The sequence below is a fragment of the Homo sapiens genome, chromosome 2, assembly GCF_000001405.40.
Source record: "Homo sapiens chromosome 2, GRCh38.p14 Primary Assembly".
Lineage (NCBI taxonomy): Eukaryota > Metazoa > Chordata > Mammalia > Primates > Hominidae > Homo > Homo sapiens.
This window is the reverse complement of record NC_000002.12, coordinates 44,579,910-44,595,416: the sequence shown is the minus strand read 5'-3', so window position 1 is coordinate 44,595,416 and position 15,507 is coordinate 44,579,910. Positions and strand designations below refer to the sequence as shown.

The following is a 15,507-nucleotide window of genomic DNA, read 5'->3' as shown; positions in this document are numbered from 1 at the left end:
CTTTGTAGCAATTGCCAGGCATGGTGGCTCACGCCTGTAATCCCAGCACTTTGGACGCTGAGGCGGGCAGATCACCTGCGGTCGGGAGTTCATTTATAATCCTTTGGGTATATACCCAGTAACGGGATTGCTGGGTCAAATGGTATTTCTAGTACCAGATCCTTGGTGAATTGCCACACTGTCTTCCACAATGGTTGAACTAATTTACCCTCCCACCAACAGTGTAAAAGTGTTCCTATTTCTCCACATCCTCTCCAGCATCTGTTGTTTCCTGACTTTTTAATGATCACCATTCTAACTGGCATGAGATGGTATCTCATTGCGGTTTTGATTTGCATTTCTCTAATGAACAGTGATGATGAGCTTTTTTCATGTTTGCTGGCTGCATAAACGTCTTCTTTTGACAGGCGTCCGTTCATATCCTTCACCCACTTTTTGATGGGGTTGTTTTTTTCTTGTAAATTTAAGTTCTTTGTAGATTCTGGATATCACCCCTTTGTCAGATGGATAGATTGCAAAAGTTTTCTCCCATTTTGTAGGTTGCCTGTTCACTCTGATGATAGTTTCTTTTGCTGTGCAGAAGCTCTTTCATTTAATTAGATCCCACTTGTCAATTTTGGATTTTGTTGCCATTGCTTTTGGTGTTTTAGTCATAAAGTCTTTGCCCATGCCTATGTCCTGAATGGCATTGCCTAGGTTTTCTTCTAGGGTTTTTATGGTTTTAGGTCTTACATTTAAGTCTTTAATCCATCTTGAGTTAATTTTTGTCTAAGGTGTAAGGAAGGGATCCAGTTTCAGCTTCCTGCATATGGCTAGCCAGTTTTCCCAGCACCATTTATTAAATAGGGAATCCTTTCCCCATTGCTTGTTTCTGTCAGGTTTGTCAAAGATCAGATGGTTTTAGATGTGTGGTGTTATTTCTGAGGCCTCTGTTTTGTTCCATTGGTCTATATATCTGTTTTGGTACCAGTACCATGCTGTTTTGGTTACTGCAGCCTTGTAGCGTAGTTTGAAGTCAGGTAGCGTGATGCTTCCAGCTTTGTTCTTTTTGCTTAGGATTGTCTTGGCTATACGGGCTCTTTTTTGGTTCCATATGAAATTTAAAGTAGTTTTTTCCAATTCTGTGAAGAAAGTCAATGGTAGCTTGATGGGGATAGCATTGAATTTATAAATTACTTCGGGCAGTATGGCCATTTTCACAATATTGACTCTTCCTATCCATGAGCATGGAATGTTTTTCCATTTGTTTGTGTCCTCTCATTTCCTTGAGCAGTGATTTGTAGTTCTCCTTGCAGAGGTCCTTCACAACCCTTGTAAGTTGTATTCCTAGGTATTTTATTCTCTTTGTAGCAATTGCCAGGCATGGTGGCTCACGCCTGTAATCCCAGCACTTTTGGAGGCTGAGGTGGGCAGATCACCTGAGGTGGGGAGTTCGAGACCAGCCTGACCAACACAGAGAAACCCCATCCCTACTAAAAATACCAAATTAGCCAGGCGTGGTGGTACATGCCTGTAGTCCCAGCTACTTGGGAGGCTGAGGCAGGAGAATCGCTTGAACCCGGGAGGCAGAGGTTGTGGTGAGCTGAGATCACGCCATTGCACTCCAGCCTGGGCAAAAAGATCAAAATTCCGCCTCAAAAAAAAAAAAAAAAAGGAAGTTGTCTTTTTCAAAAATTCCCCAGGGAGACTTCTGCTTTTATTCAAGTTGGAGCAACAGTGACTAGATTTACTCCCTCACCTAAAACAACTACAAATCAAATATAATAAATGAAACTATGGTATTCAAGACAGTGGGCAGGAGGCAGGAAGGACAGTTATCCCTGGGAGACAGAATACAAATGAGGTGAGTGAGTCCAACAATTATCTCAAGTTTAAGAGAGATTCCGGGCTGTGGCATTGGGACAGGGAACCCAAATGGAGCCCTGCAGAGTACCAGAGTTGAAAGTCTGGAAAAAACAATGTGGCTAGAGTTCAAAGGACAGAGTATCAGAGAGTACAGAGCTGCAAAGAGTTAGAACCCAGCATATCTGAAAAATGCCTCCCTTTGAGTATTCATCAGAGTATTGATAAGCACATGTATCTGAGAAAACTACAGGAGGCCAGGGAAAGACCTATCAGAAAGGATTAAAGGAAATAGTATCCAGTGTTCACAAAGAACTGGAAATTGTGCATGTTTCTGCCAGTCTGACAAGAAAAACTTCTTAATGCATTGAACATTGAGTTGAGTACACAAAAGAGTTTTGCCTCAGTGGTGTGGAAAAATTTGCCCTACATAAATATTGCTGGTCCCACCTAACAAATCTTAAAAGCAAGATCTGAAAGGATCAAGCTGTTTCCCAGTAACACATCTGCTTCACAAAACAAAACTCAAGAATATTTATTATAAATACTTATCATTATAGTCAGAGATTTTAACATGTTATAATTGATATAACAAGTATACAGAAACCAGTAAGGACATAGAAGGCTTGAATAACATTACCAACCAACTTAATTGACATTTATAGAACACACCACCCAATAGAGCTGAATACAGTATTCTGAAATGCCAGTTGAAGCTTTACCAAGCTAGACCATATTCTAGGCCACAAAACAATACACTTAAAAAGATTTAAGCCATGCAAAATATGTTCTCTGATCACAAAGTACAGTAGTCCTCCCTTATCCTTGGGGGATACAAGCCAAGGTCCTAGTGGATGCCTGAAATCGCAGATAGGACTGAACCCTGTATATACTATGTTTTTTCCTATACTTACATACCTATGATAAAGTTTACTTTAAAAATTAGGCATAGTATAAGAGATTAACAATAATAACATAATAAAACAGAACAATTATAACAATATGCCAGCATCGTTGGTCTTGCACTTTGGGGCCATTATTAAGTAAAATAAGGGTTACTTGAACCCAAGCACTGAGGACCATTAATCTGATAACCAAGACAGCTATAGAAAAGACAAAAATGACCAATGTAAGAAATAAGAAAGATGGCATCACTATAGATTCTATAGATGGTAAAAAGATAATAAAGGAAAATTATAAATAACATTATGCCAGTAAGTTTGACAACTTAGATGAAATGGAAGGCACAAGTTCTTTGAAAGACACCAACTATCAAAGATTATTCAAGAAGAAATAACCTGAATATTGCAGTACCCATAAAAAAAATGAATTCGTAGTTTATTTATTTATTTATTATTATTATTATACTTTAAGTTTTAGGGTACATGTGCACAATATTCAGGTTAGTTACATATGTATACATGTGCCATGCTGGTGTGCTGCACCCATTAACTCGTCATTTAGCATTAGGTGTATCTCCTAATGCTATCCCTCCCCCTTCCCCCCACCCCACAACAGTCCCCAGAGTGTGATGTTCCCCTTCCTGTGTCCATGTGTTCTCATTGCTCAATTCCCACCTATGAGTGAGAATATGCGGTGTTTGGTTTTTTGTTCTTGTGATACTTTACTGAGAATGATGATTTCCAATTTCATCCATGTTCCTACAAAGGACATGAACTCATCATTTTTTATGGCTGCATAGTATTCCATGGTGTATATGTGCCACATTTTCTTAATCCAGTCTATCACTGTTGGACATTTGGGTTGGTTCCAAGTCTTTACTATTGTGAATAGTGCCGCAATAAACATACGTGTGCATGTGTCTTTATAGCAGCATGATTTATAGTCCTTTGGGTATATACCCAGTAATGGGATGGCTGGGTCAAATGGTATTTCTAGTTCTAGATCCCTGAGGAATCGCCACACTGACTTCCACAATGGTTGAACTAGTTTACAGTCCCACCAACAGTGTAAAAGTGTTCCTATTTCTCCACATCCTCTCCAGCACCAATAACAGACAAACAGAGAGCCAAATCATGAGTGAACTCCCATTCACAATTGCTTCAAAGAGAATAAAATACCTAGGAATCCAACTTACAAGGGACGTGAAGGACCTCTTCAAGGAGAACTACAAACCACTGCTCAATGAAATAAAAGAGGATACAAACAAATGGAAGAACATTCCATGCTCATGGGTAGGAAGAATCAATATCGTGAAAATGGTCATACTGCCCAAGGTAATTTATAGATTCAATGCCAACCCCATCAAGCTACCAATGACTTTCTTCACAGAATTGGAAAAAACTACTTTAAAGTTCATATGGAACCAAAAAAGAGCCCACATTGCCAAGTCAATCCTAAGCCAAAAGAACAAAGCTGGAGGCATCACACTACCTGACTTCAAACTATACTACAAGGCTACAGTAACCAAAACAGCACGGTACTGGTACCAAAACAGAGATATAGATCAATGGAACAGGACACAGCCCTCAGAAATAACGCCACATATCTACAACTATCTGATCTTTGACAAACCTGAGAAAAATAAGCAATGGGGAAAGGACTCCCTATTTAATAAATGGTGCTGGGAAAACTGGCTAGCCATATGTAGAAAGCTGAAACTGGATCCCTTCCTTACACCTTATACAAAAATTAATTCAAGATGGATTAAAGACTTAAACGTTAGACCTAAAACCATAAAAACCCTAGAAGAAAACCTAGGCATTACCATTCAGGACATAGGCATGGGCAAGGACTTCATGTCTAAAACACCAAAAGCAATGGCAACAAAAGCCAAAATTGACAAATGGGATCTCATTAAACTAAAGAGCTTCTGCACAGCAAAAGAAACTACCATCAGAGTGAACAGGCAACCCATAAAATGGGAGAAAATTTTCACAACCTACTCATCTGACAAAGGGCTAATATCCAGAATATACAATGAACTCAAATTTGCAAGAAAAAAACAAACAACCCCATCAAAAAGTGGGTGAAGGACATGAACAGACACTTCTCAAAGGAAGACATTTATGCAGCCAAAAAACACATGAAAAAATGCTCACCATCACTGGCCATCAGAGAAATGCAAATCAAAACCACAATGAGATACCATCTCACGCCAGATAGAATGGCAATCATTAAAAAGTCAGAAATTTGTAGTTTAAAAACTTTCCCACAAAGAAAATTCTAGGCCTAGCTGGCTTACTGGTGAATTCTACCAAATATTGAAGGAGAAATAACACCAATTCTTTCTCAAACTCTTTGAGAAAACTGAAAAGGAAGAATATTTTCTGACTTACTTAATGAAGAAAGCATTACTCCAATACAAAAACCAGACAAAGACAAAGAGAAGACTACAGACCAATATCCCCCATAGACATAGATATTCTCTGTTGCTGCTTCTATTAAACACTATACTAGAGGTTCTAGCCAATGCAGTATGGGAAGAAAAGAAATAAAAGGCATCTAGATGGGAAAGGAATGTCAATATTAGCAGACAACATGACCGTCCATGTGGAAAATTTGATGGAATGTACAGAAAACTGACTAGAACTAACAAGTATGTTGAGTGAGGTTGCAGGACACAAGGTCAATACACAAATAACAGTTGTATTTCTATATACCAGCAACAAACTATTGGAAATTAAAATTTTTTTTTTTTCGTTCTTTTTTTTTTTTCTTTTTTTTTTTTATTGATCATTCTTGGGTGTTTCTCGCAGAGGGGGATTTGGCAGGGTCATAGGACAATAGTGGAGGGAAGGTCAGCAGATAAACAAGTGAACAAAGGTCTCTGGTTTTCCTAGGCAGAGGACCCTGCGGCCTTCCGCAGTGTTTGTGTCCCTGGGTACTTGAGATTAGGGAGTGGTGACACGACTCTTAACGAGCATGCTGACTTCAAGCATCTGTTTAACAAAGCACATCTTGCACCGCCTTTAATCCATGTAACCCTGAGTGGACACAGCACATGTTTCAGAGAGCACAGGGTTGGGGATAAGGTCACAGATCAACAGGATCCCAAGGCAGAAGAATTTTTCTTAGTACAGAACAAAATGAAAAGTCTCCCATGTCTACTTCTATCCACACAGACCCGGCAACCATCCGATTTCTCAATTTTTTCCCCACCCTTCCCGCCTTTCTATTCCACAAAACCGCCATTGTCATCATGGCCCATCCCCAATGAGCCGCTGGGCACACCTCCCAGACGGGGTCGTGGCCGGGCAGAGGGGCTCCTCACTTCCCAGTAGGGGCGGCCGGGCAGAAGCGCCCCTCACCTCCCGGATGGGGCGGCTGGCCAGGCGGGGGGCTGACCCCCCCACCACCCTCCCGGACGGGGCGGCTGGCCAGGCAGAGGGGCTCCTCACTTCCCAGTAGGGGCGGCCGGGCAGAGGCGCCCCTCACCTCCTGGATAGGGCGGCTGGCCAGGCGGGGGGCTGACCCCCCCACCACCCTCCCAGACGGGGCGGCTCGCCAGGCAGAGGGGCTCCTCACTTCCCAGTAGGGGCGGCCGGGCAGAGGCGCCCCTCACCTCCCGGATGGGGCGGCCGGCCGGGCGGGGGGCTGACCCCCCCACCTCCCTCCCAGAATGGGCAGCCGGGCAGAGGCGCCCCTCACCTCCCGGACGGGGCGGCTGGCCAGGCGGGGGGCTGATCCCCCCACCTCCCTCCCGGACGGGGCGGATGGCCGGGTCGGGGGCTGACCCCCCACCTCCCTCCCGGACTGGGCGGCTGGCCGGGCGGGGGGCTGACCCCCCCCACCTCCCTCCCGGACGGGGCGGCTGGCCGGGCAGTGGGGTCCTCACTTCCCAGTAGGGGCAGCCGGGCAGAGGCGCCCCTCACCTCCCGGACGGGGCGGCTGGCCAGGCGGGGGGCTGATCCCCCCACCTCCCTCCCGGACTGGGCGGCTGGCCGGGCGGGGGGCTGACCCCCCACCTCCCTCCCGGACTGGGCGGCTGGCCGGGCGGGGGGCTGACCCCCCACCTCCCTCCTGGACGGGGCGGCTGGCCGGGCAGAGGGGTCCTCACTTCCCGGTAGGGGCGGCCGGGCAGAGGCGCCCCTCACCTCCCGGACGGGGCGGCCGGCCGGGAGGGAGTCTGACCCCCCCACCTCCCTCCGGACGGGGCGGCTGGCCGGGCAGGGGCCTGACCCCCCCCTCCCGGACGGGGCGGCTGGCCGGGCAGAGGGGCTCCTCACTTCCCAGTAGGCGCGGCCGGGCAGAGGAGCCCCTCCCCTCCCGGACGGGGCGGCTGGCCGGGCGGGGGGCTGACCCCCCCCCTCCCTCCCGGACGGGGTGGCTGCCGGGCGGAGACGCTCCTCACTTCCCAGACGGGGTGGCTGCCGGACGGAGGGGCTCCTCACTTCTCAGACGGGGCGGTTGCCAGGCAGAGGGTTTCCTCACTTCTCAGACGGGGCGGCCGGGCAGAGGCGCTCCTCACATCCCAGACAGGGTTGCGGCCCAGCAGAGGTGCTCCTCACATCCCAGACAGGGCGGCGGGGCAGAGGCGCTCCCCACATCTCAGACGATGGGCGGCGGGGAAGAGGCGCTCCTCGCTTCCTAGATGGGATGGCGGCCGGGCAGAGACGCTCCTCACTTTCCAGACTGGGCAGCCAGGCAGAGAGGCTCCTCATATCCCAGACGATGGGGGACCAGGCAGAGACGCTCCTCACTTCCCAGACGGGGTGGCGGCCGGGCAGAGGCTGCAATCTCGGCACTTTGGGGGGCCAAGGCAGGCGGCTGGGAGGTGGAGGTTGTAGCGAGCCGAGATCACGCCACTGCACTCCAGCCTGGGCACCATTGAGCACTGAGTGAACGAGACTCCGTCTGCAATCCCAGCACCTCGGGAGGCCGAGGCTGGCGGATCACTCGCGGTCAGGAGCTGAGACCAGCCCGGCCAACACAGCAAAACCCCGTCTCCACCAAAAAAAAAAAAGGAAAACCAGTCAGGCGTGGCGGCGCGCGCCTGCAATCGCAGGCACTCGGCAGGCTGAGGCAGGAGAATCAGGCAGGGAGGTTGCAGTGAGCCGAGATGGCAGCAGTACCGTCCAGCTTTGGCTCGGCATCAGAGGGAGACCGTGGAAGGAGACCGTGGAGAGAGAGGGAGACGGAGAGGGAGAGGGACAGGGGGAGGGGGAGGGGGAGGGAGAGGGAGAGCTAAAAATTTTTTAAATAAAATTTACAATAGCATTAAAAAATATACAATTCTTAGGGGTAAATCTGACAAAAGATATGTAAAACCTGTACTTTGAAAATTGCAAAATATTGCTGAAAGAAGTTTAAAATTTAAAATAACAGCAAAATCTGCCATGTCCATTGATTAGAAGACTCAGTATTGTTAAGAAGTCACTTCTTCCCAAATTAAGCTATTGATTCAATGCAGTTCTCATCAGAATCTGCTAAAGGACTTGTATTCAGAATAAAGAATTCTCAAAATTCAATAACAAGAAAACAAATTATCAAATTTAACAGTGGGCAAAAAAAATCCTGAATACACACTCAACCAAAGAAGATACATAGATGACAAATAAGCAATGAAAAGATGATCATTTGAGAAGTTTAAATTAAAACCACAATGAGATTCTAATACATCTACTAGAATGACTAAAATGGAAAGGACTCACCAACCAAGTGTTGACAGACCTTTCCCATGCTGCTGCTGGCAATGTAAAATAGAACCACCCCTCTGGAAAACAGTTTGGCAGTTTCTTTAAAAGTTAAACATATACCTACCACATGATCTAAGCATTTCTACTCCTATGTATTTACTCTAGAAAAATAAGAGCATATGTCTAAATAAAAGATTCTACATAAATGTCACAACAGCTTTATATATAATAACCCAAAGCTGGAAACAACCCAAATGTCCATCAATGGATAAATGGATAAATATACTGCATATAACTGCACACAACAGAATACTACTCAGCAATAAAAAAGGAATGGAAGACTCAAACACACTACAATATGCAAGAATTAAATATAAATAATTATGCTGAGTGAAAGCATGCTCAAAATAGTTATGCTGAGTGAAAGAAGCCTGATGAAAAAGAATACAATTTGTTTGCTTCTATTTACATAAATGCTAGAAAATGAAAATGAATCTATAGTGAGAGAAAGCAGATAATATTTGCCTAGGGAAGGGTAGGAAGGACTACAAAAGAGCAGGGGAAAACTTTTGGGGGTGATAAATATGTTCATTATTTTGATTGTGGTAATAGTTTCATTAAATAGGGAATCCTTTTAACATATATATATATATACATATGTTAAAACTTATCAAATTGTACACTTGAGATACGTGCAATGTATAGCAAATCAATTATACTTCAATAAAGCTGTGTTTCAAAAAATTCTATCCAAGTGATCCTGAAACCCTATCAGATTTTGGAACCCTTAAACTAAACCAAGCCTTTAACACCTATGCCACCTTGGGCAGAAGGCTGCCTATTCTGTTTCCAAACAGAATAGGCAAATCGTACCTCTGTACATACCTCTGTACGATTTGAAGAGTGGTCTCTCTTCTCTAGTCTGAACTTTAAAGAAACATTTATTTATCTTCTTGTATATTTAGAATGTTTTTCTCTGGACCCTCTAGCTTCCCTGTAGTGTAAAATTAGAACAGTCTGAGAGTTGTGATTAAAATTGACTATTGCAGAGTAACGACCTTTGGGCTCCATATGCTTGCAAATCATATTCCCCTTTACACACTCTAAAATTATGCATTGTTTATAAATAATAACACAGAATTGATCAGCAATATATGGATTGAATTCCACTATGACTCCTAAGTCTCTTGTCTTATTTATGGCCTAGCTGTTCCCATCTTCCATCTATCTTTGGTAAAGCGTAGGATCACCATAGCATGTTACTTGAACTTGATCTTACAGCCCTTCATAAAGTACACAATTGTCACTTTTATGGTTTAAGATCATTTCATTTAATCTATAACAATCTTCCAGAGTACTCATATCAAGGTTTTCCTTTGCCAACATATGAGTTTATTTTCAATTATTTATGCATGACACAGAAATTCAGAATAACTCCAGCATTTGGATATGTATTTATAAAACAAGATTCATGGTTGACACTAAGCCCTTCATAACACTTTTCAAATATAACCCCCCAGAGAAGCAGGCCACTTCCTACAGGAATATGGTCTGGCCTACACCACATCCTTTGAGTTAGTGCTAAAATGTCATGTGTGGCTGAATCAAAATCCTTTCTGAAGTTCAGCTGAATTGCTTCCTAAATGTATGTATAAACTGTCAATCTCTTCATGAAGGAAATTAAATCGATCTGGTACAATTTGCTCTTTGCAAAGCCAAGACAGTGACTACCCAGTGCTTCATGCTCTCCTATGTGGTGACTAATTGATTGTTCAATGATTTCATCTAGTGCAGAATCTTTAAAGGTATCAAAATTAACTTGACTGGCTTATAGGAGGTATAATTTACTCCCCTTTTAAAAAGCTGGGCACTAAAACTACTTTGGTTTAATCAACAAGCCTTTTTACATTTTTTTTTTTTTCAGACGGAGTCTCGCTCTGTCACCCAGGCTGGAGTGCAGTGGTGCGATCTCGGCTCACTGCAACCTCCGCCTCGTGGGTTCATGTCATTCTCCTGCCTCAGCCTCCCAAGTAGCTGGGACTACAGGCGCCCACCACCACGCCCGGATAATTTTTTTGTATTTTTAGTAGAGACAGGGTTTCACCACGTTAGCCAGGATAGTCTTGATCTCCTGACCTCGTGATCCACCCGCTTCAGCCTCCCAAAGTGCTGGGATTACAGGTGTGAGCCACCGCACCCGGCCTACTATTTTTTTTAATTATTTCATGCAGACACCCAATTTCCCACTTTAGGCCACTAGACCTCCAAGGAAGGAACTCCATCTTGCTTATCTTCTATTGCCTTATAGAACTGAATACCATGCTTTATGTATAGCAGACATTCATAAATATTTTTTGACTTGAATTTGAATTCCAAAAATAATTGTTGCATTCTGTAAGTAGCCCACAATACACAGAATCAGATTAATTTTAGTGTTTTACCTGTTAGTTCAGCATTCTACTCAACAACTTAGGAAGCATTTTATATTATCCATAAATTATCAATGAAACTGTTTTTTCAGGTGGGACATGTCTTTATAGCTCATTTGGGGATAAAAATTACTTCAGTGTGGGCCAACACTATTCATATGTGGTGAATATAAGGTAATATCCCAGGTCCTCTAGTACATTTTCACAGCTCATAAATAAAAATGTACCACTTCTTTCATCTTACCTTATGAGCAATAAATTAAGGTTTATTTTTGTCAGTCAGTGGATAAATGAATAAATAAATTGTGGTGTATCTATAAAATAAAATGCTAATCAGTAATAATAAGGAAAACACCAGTGATACACATAAGAACATGGATGGATCTCAGAAACATCAGGCTGAGCAAAAGAAGTCAGACACAGAGTACATACTATGTGATTTCATTTATCTGAAACTCGAAAAACAATCCAGGAGCCTGGGGAAAATGATGAGTTGTACTCAAGGAAAGAGCACAAAGGAAGCTTTCTGGGTCATGTAAATATCCTGTATGTTGAATGAGGGGATGTGTGGGTATGTATACAGTTATATATGTATATGCTTATACATACATATATACTCATCTCTACCTATTCACTCACATATGGATATTTGTATACACTTGTCTAAATTCATTGAAATGTACACTTGCAATGTGTGCATTTTATTTTTTGTCTCCTTCCTTCCTTCTTTTTTCTTTCTTTCTTCTTTTCAGAGACAGGGTCTTGATCTGTTGCCCAGGATGCGGTGCTGTGGCTCAAACATAGCTCACTGCAGCCTTGAACTTCTGGGCTCAAGCCATCCTTCCCCCTCACCCTCCCAAGTAGCTAGGACTACAGGCGTGTGCCACCATGCCCAGCTATTTTTTTATTTTTTGTAGAGACAGAATCTCCCTATGAGACCAGCCTAAGCTGGTCTCAAACTCCTGGTCTTAAGAAACCTTCTTGTCTCAGCCTCCCAAAGTGCTGGGATTATAGGGTGAGCCATGGTCCTCAGCCTCATTTTATTTTTAAGTGCAAAAAATTGAGTTTTAAGTGTTGATTTTTAAAGGTCCCTGTCCTGGAGAAGCATAAACTTGATCTGATTTCTTATTGAAGAATCCTCTAACATCCTGAATTTTATTTAAGCATATAATATTAAGGTAAAACTTGCATTAAAAATTATGTAACTGGTCACTTAATGCCTGTCTTACATCTTTCTCATCATGAGCTCTTTGAGAGCAGGGACTGTGTGTGTGTCTTGCTCATTGATTACTGTATCTGATGGCTCCCACCATGCCTCATAGCTAGTAGGCATCCAATAGATACTTGTTGAATGAATATCCAGTCCATTTTAATCAATAAAGCTCCTTCTATACACAAAGCATAGTAGTGAGCAATGCAGGAAATACTAAAATAGGTCAGATGTGAAGAGCTAACAGTATAATAGGATCAATACCCAAATAATGACTATTATGTATTATATGTATTTTAAGGGTTTTTTGTGGGGAGTATCAGAACAATTCGAATTTCCAAAAAAGATCATCATTTTTGTTGAAATACTATGCTGATAGTATGTATTTCAGCAGCCAAAAGATAAAGGAAAGGAATATACACACAAATTTAGGCTTCTCTCGAAAAGCTTACAATGCTAGAAACTGGGAGTCACTTTCTTAGTTATTTCCCCTGCTTAGGTAAGCAATGTTAAGGGAGTACTCAAACAGCTGTGTTTTCTGGTATTCACAGAGAGGGAAACTACTAAATATCTCAACTCTAAGCCACCTCTGCATGTAACTTTCATGTACTCCACCCATTATCTCCTCCAACATTTTGGGTAAGAGATCAGTCACTTAGTCTTTTAAAAGTAAGAACATAAAGTAGTTAACTAGGAGGAAAAAAAATCATTGCCCAATCATGATTCAACAGCTGCAGAATTTAAGACCAAAGAGGAATGTGGTATTGCTGGACTTGCTTATTGGACTATGTGCTGTGAGTGTGCCTTTAAAATACAATGAGCAGGTAACCACTGACCTTTATAAAACAATGGCCCAGAAGTTGGCAGAAAGAATGAGACAGCTTACCAGGCACAACTGAGTGCATTTAGAAATGGAGAATTATGTTTAAGTATCGCTTCATCTATTTTACTATTTGGGAATTTGAATGATCAGCACCAAAACATTAATATTTTTATGGCATTGCACTGTTAGTGAGGTACATCCTTTTTATGCTCTTTTCTTTTCAGAGAGAAAGAGCAAAAATGACACTGTGAACACTGTCAAGTTCACATATATGTATTTGTGAAGCAATCTAAATGTCAAAATAGACTAAAGACATTCTTTCTGTTCTTCCATGTAGTTTCAGAAAGGCCCGGTTTAGGTATTAGGATGTGATGCCATCCTGTACTTACCTACGATGGATAGAATGATCCTAAAGTACAAGGAAAATAGGACATGGTAACATAAATAACGTTTGAGAATTTTTTCATATAAACAAAACATTCTGTTAAAACCATCTAGTTTTTGTTTTTGTTTTTGAGACGGAGTCTCGCTTTGTTGCCCAGCCTGGAGTGCAGCGGCACGATCTTGGCTCACTGCAACCTCTGCCTCCATGGTTCAAGCGATTCATCTGCCTCAGCCTCCCAAATAGCTGGGACTACAGGCGCGCGGCACCACGCCTGGCTAATATGTGTACTTTTAGTAGAGATGGGGTTTCACCATATTGGCCAGGCTGGTCTCGAACTCCTGACTTTGTGATCCACCCGCCTCAGCCTCCCAAAGTGCTGGGATTACAGGCGTGAGCCACCACGCCCGGCAAAAACCATCTAGATTTTTTAAAAACAGCCACCAGCTATAAAATTTACAGTGCTCTTTATATAAAATGATTTTGTCTATAAAAGTAATCCCATGTTAGACCTTGGGCTTTGGAATGTTATAATTATTTAATAGCTCAAATAGTCTCAAAAATTACCCAATGCAATAATTTATTTAAGTAACATTGAGGTCTTTATTTTTTAATCCAGTTGGATGAAACCTTAGATCTGTCAGTATACACATATTTAATGGTCAGCCTGGATAACCTAATAAGACAGAGCAGTAGAATATAACAAACTTGACTTGTATTCAGAAGAAACAGATTTAATTCCAAGCTCTACTGCTCATTGACATGTGATCTTAGCCCATTTGCTTAGCTTAATGTCGGCTTCAGTGTTCTTGCTGGTAAAACAAAATATTAAGTGATTTGTCATAATCCTTAGCACATGATAAACAGCTATATACATAAAGGTTTCATTATTATCATCAGCTAGATACACATAGGCTTTTTGTTATTACATTCTTACAAAGAGACAAATTCAGAAAAGGTAATCTTTGAAAATTTCTCCTTTTGATCTCATCGGAAACATACTTGCACTGCCTAGTTTGCAGACTAGCTATATTCTGACATTTGTGTAGTCAACCACAACCACAGCAAGCAGGATGGCATTTATCTTTTATAATAATACAGAGTGCTCTGTCATAAAGTAGGGTCACTGAAATGAGTAATAATCCCACCAGCATCTAAGGTACAACCAGCAGGGTCCAGGTCAACAGGCAAGCAGCCGATAATTTGCCCAACAACACTGAATTTCATCTGCCCACAGCCTCTATCTACTGATTATACAATCAATACACCTCAGATGAGAAGAGCTAACAACTGACCGGGGCAGATCAATGCTAGCAAATAAGCGCTTCATGACAAAAAGTTTGATAATTACCATTCTGAAGCCGTGTAAATGTTGTTTCTATTGTAACAACATTCATGATGATACTGCTATGATTGCACTGTTATTATAGGTTTAATGTTAGGCAATCAAGCTACAGTGGTCTAGATATCAACAAACAGCATCAAAAGAAAACATCAAATTGTCCCTATTCTTTTGACACTGTAGCTGAGAAATTTTTCTATGTTAGTGGCCCTAAATGAACAATAATAAGTGACAATTTAGTGAAAAACACTATTTTCACATCTTACAAAAGTCATGCAATATAGATTGATACAAGTATGATTATTTCTAGGACCACTTGAACCAGGGGATTAAAATAAATTCAGTCCTGTGACCATGGTTTTTCCTTCTTTCTTTTTTTTCACATACATCATTTAAAGAGGATTTATGTAAATTTTCTCTGTACTCATAATTTTTCAAGCATTAGTGCAGTCATAAGTATAGGGCACCTTGGCTTGATTTAATTATTATCGTTTCTAATTCAGCACACTTTATTTTATTTTACTTTATTTTATTTTATTTTATTTTTGAGCCCTGATTGCTAGTTCATTCTCAATCATTAGCATTTAGAAGAACTAGTCATTACTGGTTTTCAATAGCTGCTTGGGTTCCTATAAGCACTTAGAGTCTTAAAACACAGAAATGGAAAACAGACATTTCAAAGGTAGAACAAATCATGACTCCTAGAGGTAGGGTACAAGAATCCCTGGGTGCGTGGGCACTGAAGCACACAAATTCTTAACTTTCCCATTTGCTTTTTAAAAACCACAGGAATTGGGTCTAAAAAAAACTAGGACACCTCATTTCTGTAAGATGCTTGCTCATATAGAAAACTGGGAACTGATTCCAAATGAAAGGCTTT

General features: G+C 42.1%; 1 protein-coding gene across 9 annotated transcripts in view, besides 1 other annotated feature; it reads right to left on the bottom strand.

Moving 5' to 3' along the window:
* The window catches only part of CAMKMT (calmodulin-lysine N-methyltransferase), a 410,646-nt gene that overhangs the window by 177,176 nt on the left and 217,963 nt on the right, over nucleotides 1–15,507 (bottom strand). The gene's annotated exons all lie outside the window — the stretch shown is intronic.
* Nucleotides 5,496–6,195: an enhancer, noted in NCBI's record as "NANOG-H3K27ac-H3K4me1 hESC enhancer chr2:44816361-44817060 (GRCh37/hg19 assembly coordinates)". NCBI's record gives its function as "activates a minimal SCP1, AML or CMV promoter by ChIP-STARR-seq in primed H9 embryonic stem cells {active_cell/tissue: H9 hESC(primed)}" and the evidence as "EXISTENCE:reporter gene assay evidence [ECO:0000049][PMID:30033119]".